General features: G+C 37.4%; 1 protein-coding gene across 3 annotated transcripts in view, besides 1 other annotated feature; it reads left to right on the forward strand.

The window, feature by feature from the left end:
- Positions 1 to 20,652, forward strand: part of GPC6 (glypican 6) — a 1,191,492-nt gene that overhangs the window by 643,221 nt on the left and 527,619 nt on the right. The window lies entirely within an intron of this gene.
- Positions 2,107 to 2,401: a silencer, noted in NCBI's record as "tiled region #9781; K562 Repressive non-DNase unmatched - State 24:Quies". NCBI's record gives its function as "represses a minimal TATA promoter and a strong SV40 promoter by Sharpr-MPRA in K562 cells {active_cell/tissue: K562}" and the evidence as "EXISTENCE:reporter gene assay evidence [ECO:0000049][PMID:27701403]".

Raw genomic sequence — 20,652 nt, forward strand, 5'->3', positions numbered from 1 at the left:
GAAGGCATCTATAGAGTTCAGTAGCCTCATGACTGACTGACTCATGCCCTCCCACTCAGTCTCTTGACCACCCTGGAAATATATGAACTTGAAGAAAATGCTACAACAGCTAATGAATCAGTGGGTTCCCACTCATCTTAGAATAAACAAAAGTCCCCTTAACATGGCCACAAGGATCTCAACGGTCCCATCTCAGCCACAATACTGGGACCTTCTGTGCCAGCACATCTGGCTGTATTTTATTTCTTTACATTCTCGGCCTTCCTACTTCCTCTCACCTTATGGTGTTAGCTTGTGTCATTTGTCCTCCTTCTTCCTTCCCATCAACTCTTAGCAGACATTTACTCATTCTTTAGACACTAGTACCAGCATTGTCTTCTCATGGAGTCATCTTGGGCCACCCTAAATCAAATTCTTTCTTCAGAGGTTCTTAAGCAAAAATTCACCTCTTTGTCTTAATTATATCACATTGCAGTTTTGTGCTTGGTGTGTGTGGCTATTTGGTTGACATATACTTCTCATAGACCCTTAAAATAGGGACCATGTATGTCCAAGGCCTTATTAGCGCCAGGCTCACAGTAGACATTAAATACTTTCATGCATTTTTTTAAACAAGGAGGTACATTAAATTGTTGGATTCTTTATTTCCACTCTCTTGAATGTGAGAAATAAAAGGCTCATTTTCATCTTTTCTTTGAAATAGGGTAGTTTTTTCTGGATATAATTTCAGTTAACTCATAGACCTAAATTTGGTGTTTAGCAATCTTTTACACAAATATATGTGGGTGATAATGTGTCAGAATGAAGAACTTTGAAATTTCTGTGCAGAATGTCTCAGCATCATCCTTGGATGTGATGATGGACTTGGGGGCTTGTTCTGTATGATATTCTTATGTTTGCCTTACAATTTTTTTCTGGGACTTCAAGGTGGAAGTGGGATAGGCATTCCACATTAACTTGTGTATGTGTTACATGAAAAAAGATAAATTAGAATAATGAAGACTCTTGATCCTTAACTATCTTTATAGCTGGCCAAATCTGTCACAATTAATTCTATTGCACAAAATAACTATTATATAACAGCAATTTTGAATCTCATCTTTTCTTAGTTGCTCTCACTATAGCAAAATGAAAATATAATAACTCACTAAGTCATTTTTATCATTAAAAGGGTGGGCTCAGGGAACAGGCATTCTGGGTTTGCATGCAGGACTTGGAACTTCTACCTTCTAGTTGGGGACTGTGTTGCAGTTACATAACAGCTCTGTGTCTTGGAGGGTTTTTATGTATAAAATGGGAATACTAATACTACCTTACAGGATCGTTTTGAGGATTAACAGAGTAGATCCGTGTAAACCCCTTAGAACATTGTCTGGCCACAATATACATTAAAAATACTAGCTGTTATTCATAATAATATTATTATTACAACTTGGTGAGAAGATGAGAACATTTTCTATTTCACAGTAGTAAAAAAAAAAAGAACTCTTTTGTATAAATTTCATGAAGATTTGTTGAGCACCTATTTTATGCCAGACACTGCATGTTTTGTGAATATAAATGAATAAGACATTCATTTCAAAATGCAGACAAAAGTATGTATAATTTTGGACAGTGTGAATTTAGTGAAATCTTCAAGTACCTGGAGTTGTATATGTAAAAAAAAAAAAAAGAAAATATTCATATCTAATTGTTAACTACAGAAAATATTATAAACCCTGATTTTATCCAAATGAGAAGACAGCCACTGAATGTAGATAGGACGGGCAAATAACAGGAAGCTCAGAACCTAATTCTCTCCCAACAAAATGTTTAAAGCTCTTATTTTAAGCCCATTTCTGGCACCTGGTGTCATTTACCCTTGAAAGGTTTTGCTTTTATTGCAGCTGGTTTACTCTGCGCTGTCTTTTGATGAATTTCATTATCTCATGTTGTCTCTTTAATTTCACATTGGTATATGAGCACAAAGTAGAGAACTATTGGAAAACAGTGAAAAGAACTCTGGTCTAAAAATCAGCCCCTTCCTGACTGTGGCAGCACCCTCTGACCTCTTTACTGGTCGAGTTACTTCATCCTTCTGGACGTTATTTTACATCTTCTGTAAAACAAAAAGGTTGTATTAGGTGATCTAAAGTGTCGGAAGGTTATGCTTGCCTCTCTGCGCATCACTGTGCCCCTTCAGTAAGATAAGGAGACATGCCTGCCCTGAGCTGCTGCTAGGATTTCATGAGTCACCATGTCTGGAAGTGCCTGGGACATCACAAACCCTCTCTCTATCAGTGTTATTATTCATGGAATGACGCTAAACCCACTTAGGAGTTCTCTTGGGTGATTATAGAAGTTTTTGTGCAATTTGGTTTTCAGAAATGACAGCACAGTAAAAGCAATGTGCTCTAGTGCCTAGGAAGCTCACCAAGATTGAATGAAGAGCAAATGTAATTCTATCAGTGCTGAATTTTTCTTAAGTTCTCTCCCACAGTAACAGCTAAATGCCATTTCTAAGGTATTTAGGAAGGCAGTGTCATGGAGTTTTCAGCATTCACATGAAAGTTTAGCTGACTTCTGGGGAAAATAAGCCAGCCTAAGAATGGACTTTGCTCCATGCAGGGGAGATATTGCCACTTCTCTACTGCTCCGTGAGTTCATATTTAGGGGGGTTACATCGGGGGCTACTGGAGTGGAAAGGCTTTTAAGTATTGCATCTGATTCAGCCAGCAAGTTGAGTCACAAAGTGGATTACATAAAAGGAGGAGGAGGAGATTGTGGTGCATGTGTCCCAGAAAATATTTAATTCAATTCAAAATCTCAACTCTGAAGATAAATACTGCCCTAATCTGCATCCCTGGGAACCATATATATACAACCCCCACCACATATAAGAAAGTAGCTCTAAAGAAAATAGTGCAAGCCTAAATATATTGGACAAGTGGGATTAGTTGCCACTGTATATAAAGGAGCAAATCCCATCAGGAAACTTCCAGAGTAATATCCCCGTTGACAGTTATTATTCCCTATGTTGCCACTGTAGTATATTCTGTTTGTTTCTCTGCTTTCTTTCCCTGTGAAGTGTATGGCCTTCCAAAGTATGTGCCATTTGTTTTATCATTTTTTTTCTCTCTCTGGTTAGACCCACTCTTTTCATAACATCTTTTAAGATACAGAAAAGAGTGATGGCTTTTTCAACTCTGTATTCTCACTCATAACACTGTATCTGGCCCAAAGAATGAATCCTCGCATGTTGTGTGACCCATAGTGAAGAAAATATAGGAACAAGGATATGTCCCTTCCAGTTTTGGCCTCTCCTTGTTTATTTTAATCAAGGTGATATGATATGTGCTATGAAAACAAATACCCAATGCTACAAGGCTGACTAGAGACAACCAAACAGTAAGCTTTTCTTTTCAAATTAATTTATTGTAGACTCTGGGTCATCAAACTACAGCCTGAAGACCAAAGCCATCTTGCAGTCTGTTTTTGTAAATGACATTTTATTTGAACACAGTCACACTTATTTATTTTCATATGAGCCATGGTTTCTCTCTCCCTACAGAATTGGGTAGATTCAACAGAGACCATATGGCCTACAAAGTAAAAAATATTTACTATCAAGTTCTTTACAATTCATGTTCACCAATTTCTGTTGTAGACTATTTAGAAGTAGAAAATGAAATAATTATCATTTCTCTTAGTAATTTGTTAAATCCAAAGAAAACATGTTTTTATGTTACAGTTAGCCAAAGGCCTTATGTTTTTTCAGACTTTTAATATTCTCTAAGCATATTCTTCACACATTATCTGTTAATGAAAACAGTAAACTGATTAGGCTCGATTTATGGTAAATGAAAATCTTCCCTTATAGCTAAATCGCATCCATCACTGGACCTTCATAAATATACAACTCCAGTTCATGGTGACATCATAAACTTCTCCTCTGTAGTTTACCCTGATGTAAATTGTCCTCCCCCTGGTATTTATGACCTACAGTTTCCCAATACCAGAGTACAGTTTATGAGACAAATGAGTCTAGTCCTCCACTGTCATTCTTAGATTGACAAAGTCCTATATTAAATTGGGATCAACTATATATGATGTGCATTTGTGTTGCAAAAAGATACAGCAGTCTGCTGGATTTATCAGGAACGTTTTGGGAAATAAACATCCATGCCCTGGCTAAATAAAAGATGAAATCAGTACTAGTCAAAAAAGTCTTAAAATATGACTGCTCTGTTTCTAAAATGTTTTCCCATCTTGCCTTTGTAGGGAACACTCTTAAAATGCATTGCTCTGTGATAATGGGCTCAATTTAATGAGTAAAATTTCCTTAATTTTCTCTTGTATTTTGGATATACCATAATCCTACCTAATTTCAAATTAGCTACAATGGCAGATAGTTAGGCATTGTGAATAAAAATGCCCACCTTATAATAACCAAATTAATATTTGAATACTTCATTGTATGTAGTCATGTACTAGTTAAGTATAAGATGATAACTGCCTTTCTCTTTCTTCCCGATCTGTGAAAGCTATGCTCAAATCCTCTGTCTACTGAGCAATCCTCCCAGACAAACCCAGTGCTGCTGCAACTGCTGTTGCATTAAATGATTGTTCTACACTATTAACACCACATCTTATACTTCTCATGAGTATGTGACACATCATTTAAACCTGACTTCCACCAGTGCAAAATGCTGATAGTATACATCACTGCCTGGTACCCGCCTTGTGTCATTTCTCTGTAGACCTCAGCATGCCACCTCTCAGCCATATGAAATGATTCTGATGGAAGGAGATCTAACCCTCTGCTTATTTCTTTTGCACTCCAGAGGATGTAACAGGGCAGTAATAAAAGCTAATATTTATTGACCACTTGCTCTGTGCCAGGTATTTGTTATCTCATTTTATCTTCACAATGACCTTATAAGATAGCTACTGTCTTTATAGTATCATTCTAGTTTTACAGATGGTAAACCTGAGGCACAATCAGGCTAAGCTAGTTGCATAAGGTCACAAAGCTAGCAAGAGGTAAAGCTAGAATTTGGCCTCTATGGGCTGACCCAAATGTAGAACTCTAACCACTGTACCACAGTGTAGTTGTCCAGGCGGTAAATCCTTTGTTGACTGGGTCACAAATGATGCATATAGATGGTTTTTACAGTGTAAAATCTCATGACTTAAGTTATTCAAATTTTGTGTAAAGATAATCAAAATATAAATTTCAAAATACACTCAGAAATAGGTTCATTTGTTTATGTAAAATATACTAAAAAGAGCTTAGGACATTAAGTGCCTCCATGAATGGGCATTTCATCACAATTGGATTGCAGTGGGTGACACCATAAAAAAACTAAAATCAGTCAGGGAGATGTTTTAGAAGATATGGTTTGTAAAAGTTCCTTTGAGGCCCTTAGACTAGGCAGTAAATGTACTGCCCCCAAATCCTCCTCCTCTCCAGTTGGAAGATAAAATTGCTATTATAATCATGGGTCACTTCAAGTTCAATGGAACTTACTCTCTGGGGAAAAAAATGGCCAAATAAAAAGCAAGTTTTCTATCTATTTTCAATGATAAATGTCTGGCCTACTTCAAGAGCCTTTTGCCAGGGTTCAACTAATTTCCATGCAGCCAGGCCCAACATGCCAATAATGATGGACAGCGTGAGACACCAAAGGATTCTGCGGATTATGACTTCTGCTCTGCAGACAGACAGCACTTCGTTTAAGTGGCTTTCCAGATATCTCACTGTGGATCTGATGGAAGGATTTAGCTTAAAGCCAGAGGTTGTAACCTTTTGTCTGTGAGATGAAGCCTTTGACCAGAGGTGTAGCACAGAAACTGCTACCCTGTGTCATCCTTATTATGCAGCCAGCTTTGCAAGACTGCACTGTCTTTCATATATTTACCTTCTCTCATCAAGGCACATGATAATAAAGATATTGATTCTCATGCCCTGCAACTTTCTTTTTAACTAATTCAACATGTTTTCATTGCCTATGGGAAAGAGAGCTAATTCAAAGGCAGGAGTCCATTAATTTTAGAAATTTAAGGCAAAAGAAGAACTGATGGATAATTTTGGAAAATTGTCCTGTCCTCTGCTTACTGTTACCATAATACCTTCAACTCCTGGTGACTGGATTGAGATATTATTTTAGGTCAATTTAGATGGGTGGGATTCTCTGAGGTCACATGATTTGAATCAAACCAAAAGTCATAGACCAAAATTGGTTAAGTGCCATGCAGAAATAGAGGGCATGAGTCAAAGCTTAAGGGTACCGATGAGCAGAGGCGGAGTCCTTGAAGCCAGAATCAATGGCCTGATGTGTCCAAAACCAAAGAGTGGTGGACTCTGCAAGTTTTGAAAAGCAGGTAAGTGGTGGGATGATTCACTGTAGCATTCTTCTGAAAAGCAAGTGCCTATATGCCTTTTTGAAAGTAATGTTATTTACAGCCAACAACTAGAGACAACCCAACTATCCCTCAGTAGGAGACTGTGTAAACAATTGTAGTGTAGCCATACAAAGGAATACTACTGAACAGGAAAAAGGAACACAAAACCGATTCATGAATTGACATGGATGAATCTCAGAGATATACAGAGCTGTAGGGTCCAGAAACATGTATCTTTATAATAGAATGTTTTATATTCCTTTTAGTATATACCCAGTAATGGGCGTATGTTCACCACAACGCCGTTCGCAATAGCAAAGACATGGAATCAACCTAAATTCCCATCAGTGATAGACTGAAAAAAGAAAACATGGTACATATATACCATGGAATACTGTGCAGCCATAAAAAAGAACAAGATCATTTCATTTGCAGGGACATGGATGGAGCTGGAGGCCATTGTCTTTAGCAAACTAACACAGGAACAGAAAACCAAATAGTGCATGTTCTCACTTATAAGTGGAAGCTAAATGATGAGAACACATGGACACACAGAAGGGAACAACACACAATGGGGACTTTTGGAGTGTGAAGAGTGGGAGTAGGGAGAAAATCAGGAAAAATAATTAATGGGTACCAGGCTAAATACCTGGGTGATGCAATAATCTGTATCACAAACCCCCATTACGTATGTTTACTATGTAACAAACCTGCACATGTACCCCTGAACCTAAAAGTTTTTCTAAAAATTGTTAGTCAAAAAATAAACATTTCTAAAAATATATAATGTAAATAATTTTTAGCAAAAATTAAAGTTCAGAAACAAAGGAACATCTTCTGTCTTATTCCTTTACTTGAAATGCAAAACCAAAGTTTAGCCTAGCAGAAAACACCTCAGTGCTTGTCCAGGGTTAGTGGTTGGGGTAGGAGATGACTGAAATGTATATCTCAGTATGTTGATTTTTTTTTAAGTGAGGCTATTTCCAAAAATTTCATTTACATGGAATAGTTCCAGGATATCCCCAATTCATGAAACAAGGTTGCTTATATTATGGTGAAATGTCTTTGGACAACAGTGTTATGTGTTACAGTTTGTTCTAGAAAACTCTTTGTAGAAAACTTGGAACATTTTACAGTTGGTTTAATAAACTCTGTTTGTTCCTTTGACGTCTCTCTAACATTGAGGTAGGGCATGACAGCCTGTGTGTGAACTGAGAAGTCTGCAGACTGGAGTTGGACGTTGGACTTTGCCATTCTTTAGCTATGGGATGTTGGACAAGCTACTGAACATCTTCAAACCTTACTTTCCTTATCTCTAAAATAGGGTTATTAATAAAGCCTTCTGCATAATTCATTGAAAAGAGTAAATTAGAATGATTATAAAGCCCTCAGAACCATGTGTGTCCTGTAATAAGCTCTCAAGAAAGGCTAGTCATTCCATTTGTATAAACTCTTCTCGGAAACCCTTGTCAACATGCCCCAAATGGATGGAATCAACACTCCATCTATTACAGCCTTGACCGCTGACATCACTGGTAACCTATTTGCTTCTCCTGCTCCACTGTGAGCTTTTCAAGATGATTAACTCTGAGTCCTTTTCATCTCTCTATTCCTGGTACCTAGCACCACAACTTTTAGTGTACACTCACCATCAGTGCAGGAACTTCATTCTTGAAGCTTAAATCATCAACATTTCTTTCAGTCTCACGCTTTTCTTCAGAATGAGCTGCAAGAGAATCCATGTCTTGTTGTGGGACCCAGGTCCAAAGCCTGTATGGACCTGAAGAATTACACAAGGGCAGCAGGAGTTACACAGAGACGAGGTAACATATTTTTACATCTCTCCTCTTCACATTAGAAACATGAAAACCAGAGTGAAGTCCCTGAGGTTACTCGGGAGAATGCCTTGGTAAACCTTCCATGGATTTTCTGCAGAGTAGGATCAAGTGAAGAATGTTTCCACACTTGAGGGAGACTTCACACATGCTAAAAGTTTGATGCATAATATTTTTGGGTTAGACCACAATGCTTCTTCCCATGGTGCCCGCTTGTCATATTCATAAACATGGACTTCATTTACTAGCTTTTGTTCTCTGCCAAACCTCATCTCATGCTTTTTCAGTAATGTTAGCTAGGTTGTCTGCACACTTGAATATTTAGGATAAGACCCTCAATCCTAATAGCCTATATTATAAGTGTTAACATTTCTGTCTATATAGTTATATCTCCTTATGCTTCTTTTATTAAGTTAATAATAATTCAATTAATGATTGTAATGATAGATACAGAATAAAATTATAAAATAATAAGTTAATAATTTTGCTTACAGCATTGCTTAACTTAAGTGTACAATTTCACACAGAAATTTTTGATAGCATGTTCCTCTCCTCACGAGTGATATTTTAACTTTGGATATTTATGGAGAAAAGGAAGGAGTTAACTGGGATACAGGATTTATGTAAAGGTCTCTCTTTCCCTCTCTTTCACTGCCAAAAGGACAAAGAAATCCCTAGGCAAATATCTGGTACTACATAGAAGTATTTGTCTCACCAAGTTGTTGCTGAAGGGCACTTTTCATACTATTAATATTATTTGAGAGACGAGCAGACACACCAAACCAAACATAATCCAAGACAAAGAAAATGGATTGATGTCAGATTTTAACCTGACTGAACCCTCTTTCGAGTATATCTAAGTGATATCTCCTCTGGCCAACAACAACATTAAATGCAAATATTTCTCTCTATTCCCTTTCCCTTTTCCACAACCCACAAATACTGTTGGCTGCAAGTAGGAGGAGAGAAGTTCGGAACTGCTTCTATTCTTTATGTAGTGCTCAATTGAGTAAGGCAGTCTTCCTGCACCATTTTAAAACTTAATTTTTGGTTGGGGTACAAGACCTTTAACAATTCAGCTCCTTTTAATATACCCGTGCTACTAAGTAATGTAGCAAAATACATTGAAAGTGATTAGCCCTTTAATACTGCACACCATCTGCTTCAAGTCCCTTTCTTTTTACAGCCCACGGTTGGAAAATGTTTCACACATCCCTACACATTGCCAGTCGATGGTCTGATTCTCCAGTTTAACTTCAAAAGGGAAAAACAGGTTCAAATCAGTATAGAACATTGATGACCTTTGAGAAAATGATTTCCCTCAGTTGGAGCTTAGATAGAGCACAGAGATGTGGCATGTGTTTGCAGTTCAACTAACCTGTCCAGTTTTGTCAGTAGTGGTAGACTTCTATCTGGCATGGTCCATCTGCCACCCCATGAGGCTGTCATAGCTAAGAAGGAGAGATTTGAAACACAAAAATCCTCTGCTAACATGATAGTATCAGCAATCAGTCATTTGATGTAGAACAAAGATCCAGTGATTTCTTTCCTTGGTGCTATTGTCAACTGTTACTTCTAAAATACAAATGCTTCATAAGGAGTTCACCTAAAATGGCATTGCAGTCACTTCAGAATCCATGCCTGGCCTCACATCCCTATGATTTCTTAGAAACTTAACATATTAATACATTCATGGATGTCCATGCATCTGAATATTTCAAATACAGGGCAATTTTAAATGGTGAACCAATAATTTTCCTAGCATGTTTCTTAACTGAGGGGTATTTTCTACAGACCTAGGGCTGCATTCTCTCTAAATATGTTCTTTCCAGTGAGTGGCATGGTTTTGTAATTTTTGAATACAACGGAGGAATGAAAGAGATAAGGAAATGAACACATTTTTCCTGGTATACTCCACAGCTGGTTTTAAAAGAATGTTTTTCAAAAGAGGACCACTGCAATGGAAGGAACACAGTAACCTGAGGTGGGAGATGGCAATTTTGATCTCAGCTCAGCCTCACCTGAGCCTTACTTGACTTTAGGCAAGTCACTTATATGATGTTTCTCAAGATAAAAGTGTTTGGAAGATTCAGGATTTGAATCCTTAACTGCCTCCCAAGTGAAGCACCCTGACTTTCTTAAGGTTTTGGGACACCACTTTCTTCATTATCTCTTCTTCCTTCTATTTTCACATAGCCTCAAGTTGTCTTGACTATAACCCAAAGATGATACTACCTTATTGTTACATTGTTGTAAGAATTAAATGAGATCTTGTCTGCCAAGTACTTAGCAAGTGGTGTGGCTCATAGACATGTCTTGCTACATGAAGGTGCTCATCATTCTTCTTGCTGTTATTTTTTATGAGGATGCATGCCACTATTACGAAGAAAAAGTATTACTACTATTTTTCCAACCACAATTGCCTTGTGCACTGCTGACATCAGTATATTTCCTACATAAATATGCTGGAGAATATAAATTTGGCTAGTTTTTATTATAGAATAGTCCAATTGTTTTTCTAGTTATATATTGCTGCATAACCAGGTACCCCAAAAACTTACTGTTATGGGCTGAATTGTGTAACCCCTAAATTCATATGTTGAAGCCCTAACTCTAGTATCTCAGGATGTGACTATATCTGGAGAGAGGGCCTTCAAAGAGGTAACTAAAATGGAGATGTTAGGGTTAGTCCAAATCCAATATGATTGGTATCTTTATAAGAAGAGATAAGGACACACACACACACGGAAAACTGCGTGAACCTACATGGAGAAGACGACAATCTACAAGTCAAACTGAGAGGCCTCAAAATAAAACAAGGTTTTGCCTCAAAATGAGACGGGGTTTTGCCATGTTGCCCAGGCTGGTCTTGAACTCCTGGGCTCAATTGATCCTCCTGCCTCTGCCTCCCAAATTGCTGGGATTACAGATGTGAGTCACCACACATGGCCTCTATGGTAACTTATTTGAATTTACTTTGATATTTTAAAATCTTTATTTCAGCTATTCATTTTTTTTTCCTAAGTGAAAGCAGGACAGTTAAAAATTTTTTCACCGCTACTTTGAGTTTAGGTTTTGTATGACATCACTAATCCTTTGAGCAGTGGTGCATGATGTCTCTAAAATGAGGAAGAGGCAGGGAATAACGGGAGACACAAAGTATAGCCGACAACACATGCTCTAGCATGAGACAGACTCTGTCTGCACGTTTCTGAATTCTGACTTTGTCACTTACAATTTGTCTGAACTTTGGCAAGTTATTTAAATACTCAGAGCTCCAAGTTTTTCAACTACAGAGTGGGGTGACTAACACCTGTCTCAAGAGGGTGTTGTGAGGATTAAATAAGAAATTATTTGTAAAGTTCCTAGCTTTGATCTTAGCCTATTAATTATACTCCCCTTAGCTCTTTAAGGTAATACAACACAGATCAAAATATCACAGTTCGAGTTTATTCAACTGTAATGACTTCATAGAGGATAATCAGTTGTCCTTAAAATAACCTGTTTGATCTGTGCTCATCGTCTTTTCCAAAAATATTTGCATGACACCAGACTAAACGTCGCACTGGGATTTCACAATAACACTTCACTATAGAGTAAATTTTGATGTCAGACACATTTTGTCTTTTTTCCAACGTCTCTCATGTATCAAAACAGATTGGAAGTCAGGTGTTAAAGCACATCTTCAGTGAGTTCCACTTTTTAGTCCAAGAAGAATTTACAAGTTTATAGTATTTTTCCCTTGTAGAGACTACTGGTTTTACTTATTGTAAGTCACCATTACCAGTACAAGGAAGTGAAATATCCTCTTAATTTCTGAATGAGAATCAGTTTGAGTGAAGGAAAGCAAAAGCACAAAATTATGGTGATGGAGATTCAAATGTTAGACTTTTTTTTTACTTATATACTTGAAATTTTACCCCCAGTGTATTAATGAAGATTTTGCATTTCATTTTCACTGCATTTATTTTTTGATTAATGTAGTTTCTATTTTTCTAGATAAGAGGCACAAAAGAAATAAATAAAACAAGTTTTCAGACTGATTGCTAATTTATATGAATTCATGTATTCAAATTTATGATCTTTGAATCAAATAGAAGTGCTCAATGCTGTTTTTCAAATCTCTGACATTATTTACATAAAAGCCTTTTTGAAATATCAAAAGAGATTATTTGTCACTGAGGAAATTTCAATAGTACCCTGATGCTTCCTGAAGATGTTTTGAGGTATGTGATAACAGAATGCCATTTGGAACTTAAAATTTGCCAGTAAAAAACACTTATGAACAGAAACACCCAAATGGATTTTTCATAGCTTTTTAGTATTTATCAAACTGTGATACAATGGTTAATCCAAAGATCTGTTTTTATAATTAAGAATAGCAACAGTTGTAACCTGTATTCTCATAAAGCAATGCATCCATTTCTTATAACTGCTGTAAGAAATTACTGCAAATATGGCTTAAAACAACACAGATTTATCCTATTACAGTTGTGGAAGTCAAAAGTCCAAAATGGGCCTTACTGGGCTAAAATCAAGGTGTTCTCAGTGCTGCGATTCTTCTTGGAGGCTCTAGGGAACAATCCATTCCTTGGCCCTGTCCAGCTGCTGGAGGACATCAGCAGCCCTTGGCTCGTGCCTTTTTCTCCCATCTTTGCCTCCAGCTTCCATCATTTAAGCATTCTTCTGATTACTCTGGGCCCACCCATGTGATCCCAGATAATGTCCTCATCTCAGGATCCTTAATTTTTTCACCTCTGCAAAATCCTTTTGGCCATGCAACATAACCTATTAACAGATTCCCATGACTAAGAAATATGGGGGTCTGTTATTCTGCCTACCGCAGCAGCCACTTAGAAATGATTTGTGTTTGTTTCCAGAATGTCTTCTTAATTACTTTTTAAAATACAGAAAAATTATGCCATCGAATTTCAGATTTATTTTTCAAAATCTGAAACCTAACTTTGTGCTAAAAATTCTCCACTGCTTCTCAAAACACTAAAGGCTGGCATGGATTCAACAAAAGCTACAAAATTGTAGCTTCATGTAAAACAATAATACAACAAAATGTAGAAAAAAATCCAACCATTTGCTAAACATACACCCTTTAACTACTTTTTTTTTTAGAGAAAAGGACATTTTGTGATTTTTTTTTTTAATTAATGAGGGAGGTCATATGGTCACACACTTATGTAAACAGTCACTGAACTGTTTACTGTTCACATTGCTATTTGCCACAGGATTTTCTGTTAGAAAGCTTAAACATTGGAAAATTCTGCCTAATTCTAATTTACAAAATACTGACAGTTAATGCACTACATTTTAATTCTGTTTAACATTGCCTCTTTCTTTTTAATTTTTGGTGGGAGGAGTGACTAGCAGCTCATCTCTGTTATAGTCAGAGAAACGATTTTCCTTAGACTAGAGAAGAGGTCTGTCCTGACTTTGGTATTCTGCTCTTGTTCCATACATATAGAGCAATGGTTCTCAACTGGGGAGATTTTATATTTGACAATATCTGGAAGCCTTTTTATATGTTACAACCTGAAGGGTGCTATTGGTATCATTTGGGTAGAGGCCACAGGGATGCTACAAAGCATTCTGTGCACAAGACAGCCCCTATGACAAATAATCATCTGGCCCCACCTGTCAATAGTGCACACTTGGGAGACCTTGATGCAGACCGATCTGGAGCTTGAGATGAAAAAAATCTGTCAGTATTTCACTAGCATAATGAATACAACGTATTATTATAAACCAGAGTCTATCTGAAGACTTTTCAGATTTCAACCCTTCATGAAACCAGTTCCTACCTCAATCATCCCTAATTCTAGTAAGGCCTCACTATCCATGAAGTGTTAATACAAAAGAACACAGAGGCATCCTTGAATCCTCTTTCTCTCACTGTGCACACTCTGACACGTCTGCCTTCAGAATCTATCCCCAATGTGAGCATTACCATCTCCACTGCTCCACCTTACTCTCAGCCACCATCATGTCTTGCCTGGATTCTGCAGTAGCCTCCTATCTGGTCTCCCTGCAGCCTTTCTTACACTTGGCAATGCATTGTCTGGCAGCCAGATTTTAAAAAGCTTTTATTATAGCTTCAGGGGTACATGTTCAGGTTAGCTATATAAGGTAAACTCATGTCACAGGGGCTTGTTATACAGATTATTTTATCACCAGGTACTAAGCCTAGTACCCAATAGTTATTTTTCCTGATCCTCTCCCTCCTCCCATCTGCTACCCTCAAGCAGGTTCCATCATTGTTCCTTCTTTGTGTTCATGTGTTTTATCATTTAGCTCCCACTTATAAGTGAGAACATGCACTATTTGGTTTTATGTTCCTCATTAATTTGCTAAAGACAACGGCCTCCAGCTCCATCCATGTTCCTGCAAAGGACATGACCTTGTTCTTTTTTATGGCTGCATAGCATTCCGTGGTGTATATGTACCATATTTTCTTTATGCAATCTGCCACTGATGGATGTTTAGGTTGATTCCATGTCTTTGCTACTGTGAATAGTGTAGCAGTCATGTTTTAAAGTTAGCATCAGGTCATGACACTGTATCCCAGGGCTTCTCATTGCAAATAGAAAGGGATCCACACTTCTTACCAGGGCATACCAGATCCTACCTCATGGAGCCCTACCGTAACTCTATATTCTTACCAGTCATGACCGTGTCTGTCCAACTAGATAGACTCTGATTCTGTAGGTCTCATGGACACACTAAACTTGCTCCTGACACAAGCTCTTGTCCTTGTTGTTATTCCCACCTGGAACAGTTCACATCTCCTTCTTCATATCTCCTAGTACCTGGTGTTCTCAGATCATCTCAGTGGCATCCTCTGACATGACCTTATCCTAGTTACATCTCCTCTACCATTTTATTTTCTCCTTAAAATTTGCCATTATCTAAAATCATCACATATAATTTTGTGCTTATCTTAACGTACTTCACTCCCTCTATCCTGACACACACGTCTAGGAGGGAAGAGATTTAGTTCTATGTTGCCACTGCATCTCTTGCATAATATTAGAGACTATAATAAGTTCTCAAAAGAGAGAGAGAGAATAAATGAGTTAGCTGATAAATTGATTCAATTAATAGTGTTGGGCTTTCTTCCATGCTAAGGATTCCAGAGCGCATCAGAATAAAGCAGAGTTTTCAAGTTTGGTGAAGGCCCCTCAAGTATTCAGAGATACTTGCATATGGGGCCTCAATTTCCATTTTGTTTCCCAAGACTACTCTGCAAAACTATCCTGACCTGCCATTTCTCCTTTTTCTCTTTTCAACACCTAATTCTACTTCTATTTACCCGCAAAATATGGCTTTGTTTAAGATGACTCTTCTCGGAAGGATCTCAACAGTTTTCACTTCGCTGTTGCAATTAGGTTTGATGATAACCACCACAATCTCCTTAATAACTTTTTTAAAAGAAACTTATCTTGTCTCAGTTACAAAAGCAATATATCATGTGATCAATTCAAATGATCCAGAGGTGTGTAAAATTGTAATCAATAGTCTCTACCAGCCCACCTGCTTTAATTACCATCCATACCATGCACAAAGGTAAGATGCGTCAGGTCCCTGAGGAAAGGGAATGTGTCTTTCTTGTTTGATACTGTGTTTTTGTTCTGAGAGAAGTGCCTGGTCTTTTAGTAAATATCTGTAGCATGAATGAGATAATATAGAAAGAAAGCATTTAGCTTAGTATGTGACACCTGGCAGGTGCCCAATAAATGATTCATATGGCATGGGAGAGATATTCAAGCTAATCATCTGCCTCCTGCCAGTAATGAGGCCATTTGGGGAACCCACTAGAGGAACTATCATGGAGAAAGAAACAAGCTTCAGGGAACAGAGGGCCAGTTCCTTCCCCAGACAGAGATTCCATGGCAGTACTGAATGGGTCTTGTGAGGAAGGCTGGTGTCAAAATTAATAACATCTTTCTAACAAGGCTCAGGCATTTAATTAAAATGAATTTAACAGCAAAGCTAGTCTGCAGCATTAAGGTTCCAGAGGCAAAAGCTGACCAGTAGTTGGACCCAGCCAGTGATAAGAGTCAGCATGCAAGTGCTGCTTACAGGGACCTTAGAAATCAAACAAATAGCTTGTGTCAGCTGGAATTAGTAAGAATTATACTAGACATAGGTATGATATTTGTAAGTTTCTAAAAAGCACCTATTTGCACTCTTTTTGTGCATTGCTTCATATAATAAATGCTTCATATAATAAATGCTTCATATAATAAATGAAGCATTTATTATATTGTTAATTTCTAGGGAAGCCATGATTTTGCACACAAAAAATGACTATAAACTTGATATCTGAACTTAGGGAAAAAAAAACCTAACTTTTGTCTTGAGCAACTCTAAATCAAATAATACTCTTGCTTATTTTAAATAATAAAGCTACAGATAAGAGCCTACTAAATAAACTAACATTTGAAGGTAACTTCTTTGTGATAAGCACACACGTCACTGTTCTATGACCTGGTTTCTCTGTATGAAAGACGTATGGTCTAGATTATAGAGGGCACGGAATACTTTTTGTTGCCTAAAAATGAGAGTTTCAGAATGAGTTAATACTTATTTCTCTTACCTATCTAAAAATTTCTTTTTAATATTCTTACATTGCTGTTAGAATCTGATAGTTGCCCAAAGGTAATTTTAAAACACTTCTCTCACTTTAGTCCAACCCATTTATTTCCTTTCTTGTCTTAAAAGAAAAGAGATTCTTTCTTCTAGAATTATCCAGGAAGAATTTTTTTCTTTTTTCTTTTTAAGAGATTTTTAAAAGTGAAATCTAGCAACCATTTTGCTCTTACATTAAATGCAAAATGACGGGCTCATTTAATATTGCACATGGTTTTCACAAGTTGATCCTGGGTATGTTGCACAGGCATGTAAGCCTCCGGTACTCAGGTTATACATCCCCAAACACTCACCATACGTTCCTCTTGATTGGAGATCATTTCCAACAAAGTCTAAACTGTTGGTATATTTGGACATTGCCAGAAACTCTGTAGTTAAGGTGAAGGTAACATCATCCTATCTTCAATATGACAAATTGTAGGAATGGGTATATCTTCCTGAGGGAAATATAACACTTTATAAATTTGATTCCCTAAGCAGTAGAAATATATCAGCTAAGTAAAATGGCTATGGATCGAATATGTTATTAGCACTAAAATTTAAGTATAAATTTCTGACTGACACATTTAATTAGAGGAAGAAGAATTTATTATACTACTACATATGGATACGGCCTATTTTACAGTTAACCCTTATAACATGATCTGATGAATTCCTATAACTAGTGAATTGAATCCCAAAGTAAAAGTCATGTACCTAGAACATAGGTTGTTATCCATGGGTATGTTGGGAGGCATTATTTATAAACCCACTGCAAATATTTTTAATTACCCCTTTAAAAATTTTTAGACATTTAAAAATAAACATTTTAATTAAAAAATATAACACACAACACAAATGAGGAATAATGTCACATAAATTTCAAATGTGTTCCTCTTTCCCATTCCTATTTCAAAGGTGTTGTGAATTTTACACAGATATTATATTGTCTTGTAGCTTCATAAGTTAGTGTATGATAGACTTGTCAATCCCTAAGTCTATGTTAAGGAATCCAACCCGTTAGTCTGTATAAATCAACAAATGCTTGCTTTATCAAGTTTGTCTTTAATGGTTCATAACAATCAGTATTTCAAAGATAAAGATGTATTTTATGTAATCACTAGGAGTTCTAGCTTTGTTAGAAGAGTTGTAAATTTAGAGTTTGTGATAGTGGAGATAATAAACGCCCTTTCTTTTACTTAGTCTTATGTGATAAAATCCTTTTCGTTGATTACATTGGTGGAGACAGAATAGCATGGGGTGTTGATACTCATAAATGACTATGGGAGACTTGAGGAACTGTGATAGCATTAACAAATAGAAAAGTCAGAGGGTGGAGCTGGTGTCAGAGGGAACATTGTAAATTTGGTTTGAAAAGCAGTACATTTTAAAGTTATCTGGTAGGCAGAAGAAAATGTGAGAGTTTATCTTCAGGACACTATTGATGCTGAAAAAATAAGTTGTTATTTGTCTTTTTAAAAAAGTGTTGATTGTGAGAATTTTAGGTTGAATGAGTTTACAGGGAGAGCGATGGGGAGATAGAAGAAAAGAGGAGCAGTACTATGGTTTGAATGTTTATGTTCCCTCTAAAATTAATATTGAAACTTAACCCCAAGTACAATAGTACTAAAAGGTGGGGCATTTAGGAGGTAATTAGGCCATGAGGGTTCCACCCTCATGGATGAGATTATAAAGGTTGAGGGAATGAATTCAGTCCCTGTAGGTCTTCTGCTCTTCCACCAAGTGAGGACACAGTGTTCATTCCCTCTTACCTTTCAGACTCTTTTAGACGGAGTCTCGCACTGTCATCCAGGCTGGAGTGCAGTGGCACCATCTTGGCTCACTACAACAACCACCATCTCCTGGGTCAAGTGATTCTCCTGCCTCAGCCTCCCGAGTAACTGGGATTACAGCCATGCATCACCACACCTGGCTAATTTTGTATTTTTAGTAGAGATGGGGTTTCACCATGTTGGCCAGGCTGGTCTCAAACTCCTGACCTCCAGTGATCCATGCACCTCAGCCTCCCAAAGTGCTAGGATTAAAGGCATGAGCCACCGCTCCTGGCCTACCCTTCAGACTCTTGTGCCATGTGAAGACAGAGCCTTCAAGGCATCATCTTGGAAGCAGAGACTGGGGCCCTCACCAGACACTGAACCTGCTGGTATTTTGAACTTGGACTACCCAGCCCTTAGAACTGTGAGAAATAAATTTCCATTGTTTATAAATTACCCTGTTGGCAGTATTTTGTTATATCAGCACAAATCGACCAAGAGAGGCAGGGATACAGTTTTGGGTAAAGATATATTTAGAAGAGCAAGAATTAGGAAAAGCAAAAACAGTGTTCAAAGGAGAGAAGGAAGAAACAAGAAAGCAACTGCAGAGCAGACAAGTGATAAGCGTTTCTCAAAAGTGGGAGCCAGAAGAGTAGTCAAAAAAGCAAGAAACTTCCCTTCTCACTTCATTTCATTCATTTCATCTTCCATTGCTGATACCCTTTCTTCCAGTTGATCGCATCGGCTCCTGAGGCTTCTGCATTCTTCACGTAGTTCTCGAGCCTTGGTTTTCAGCTCCATCAGCTCCTTTAAGCACTTCTCTGTATTGGTGATTTTAGTTATAAATTCTTCTAAAATTTTTTCAAAGTTTTCAACTTCTTTGCCTTTGGTTTGAAAGCTGGAGGCATCACACTACCTGACTTCAAACTATACTACAAGGCTACAGTAACCAAAACAGCATGGTACTGGTACCAAAACAGAGATATAGATCAATGGAACAGAACAGAGCCCTCAGAAATAATGCCCCATATCTACAACTATCTGATCTTTGACAAACCTGAGAAAAACAAGCAATGGGGAAAGGATTCCCTATTTAATAAATGGTGCTGGGAAAATTGGCTAGCCATATGTAGAAAGCTGAAACTGGATCCCTTCCTTACACCTTATACAAAAATCAATTCAAGATGGATTAAAGACTTAAACGTTAGACCTAAAACCATAAAAACCCTAGAAGAAAACCTAGGCATTACCATTCAGGACATAGGCATGGGCAAGGACTTCATGTCTAAAACACCAAAAGCAATGGCAACAAAAGCCAAAATTGACAAATGGGATCTAAATAAACTAAAGAGCTTCTGCACAGCAAAAGAAACTACCATCAGAGTGAACAGGTAACCTACAAAATGGGAGAAAATTTTCGCATCCTACTCATCTGAAAAAGGGCTAATATCCAGAATCTACAATGAACTCAAACAAATTTACAAGAAAAAAACAAACAACCCCATCAAAAAGTGGGCGAAGGACATGAACAGACATTTCTCAAAAGAAGACATTTATGCAGCCAAAAAACACATGAAAAAATGCTCATCATCACTGGCCATCAGAGAAATGCAAATCAAAACCACAATGAGATACCATCTCACAGCAGTTAGAATGGCAATCGTTAAAAAGTCAGGAAACAACAGGTGCTGGAGAGGATGTGGAGAAATAGGAACACCTTTACCCTGTTGGTGGGACTGTAAACTAGTTCAACCATTGTGGAAGTCAGTGTGGCGATTCCTCAGGGATCTAGAACTAGAAATACCATTTGACCCAGCCATCCCATTACTGGGTATATACCCAAAGGACTATAAATCATGCTGCTATAAAGACACATGCACACGTATGTTTATTGCGGCATTATTCACAATAGCAAAGACTTGGAACCAACTCAAATGTCCAATAATGATAGACTGGATTAAGAAAATGTGGCACATATACACCATGGAATACTATGCAGCCATAAAAAATGATGAGTT

This window comes from Homo sapiens, chromosome 13 (genome assembly GCF_000001405.40).
Source record: "Homo sapiens chromosome 13, GRCh38.p14 Primary Assembly".
NCBI lineage: Eukaryota > Metazoa > Chordata > Mammalia > Primates > Hominidae > Homo > Homo sapiens.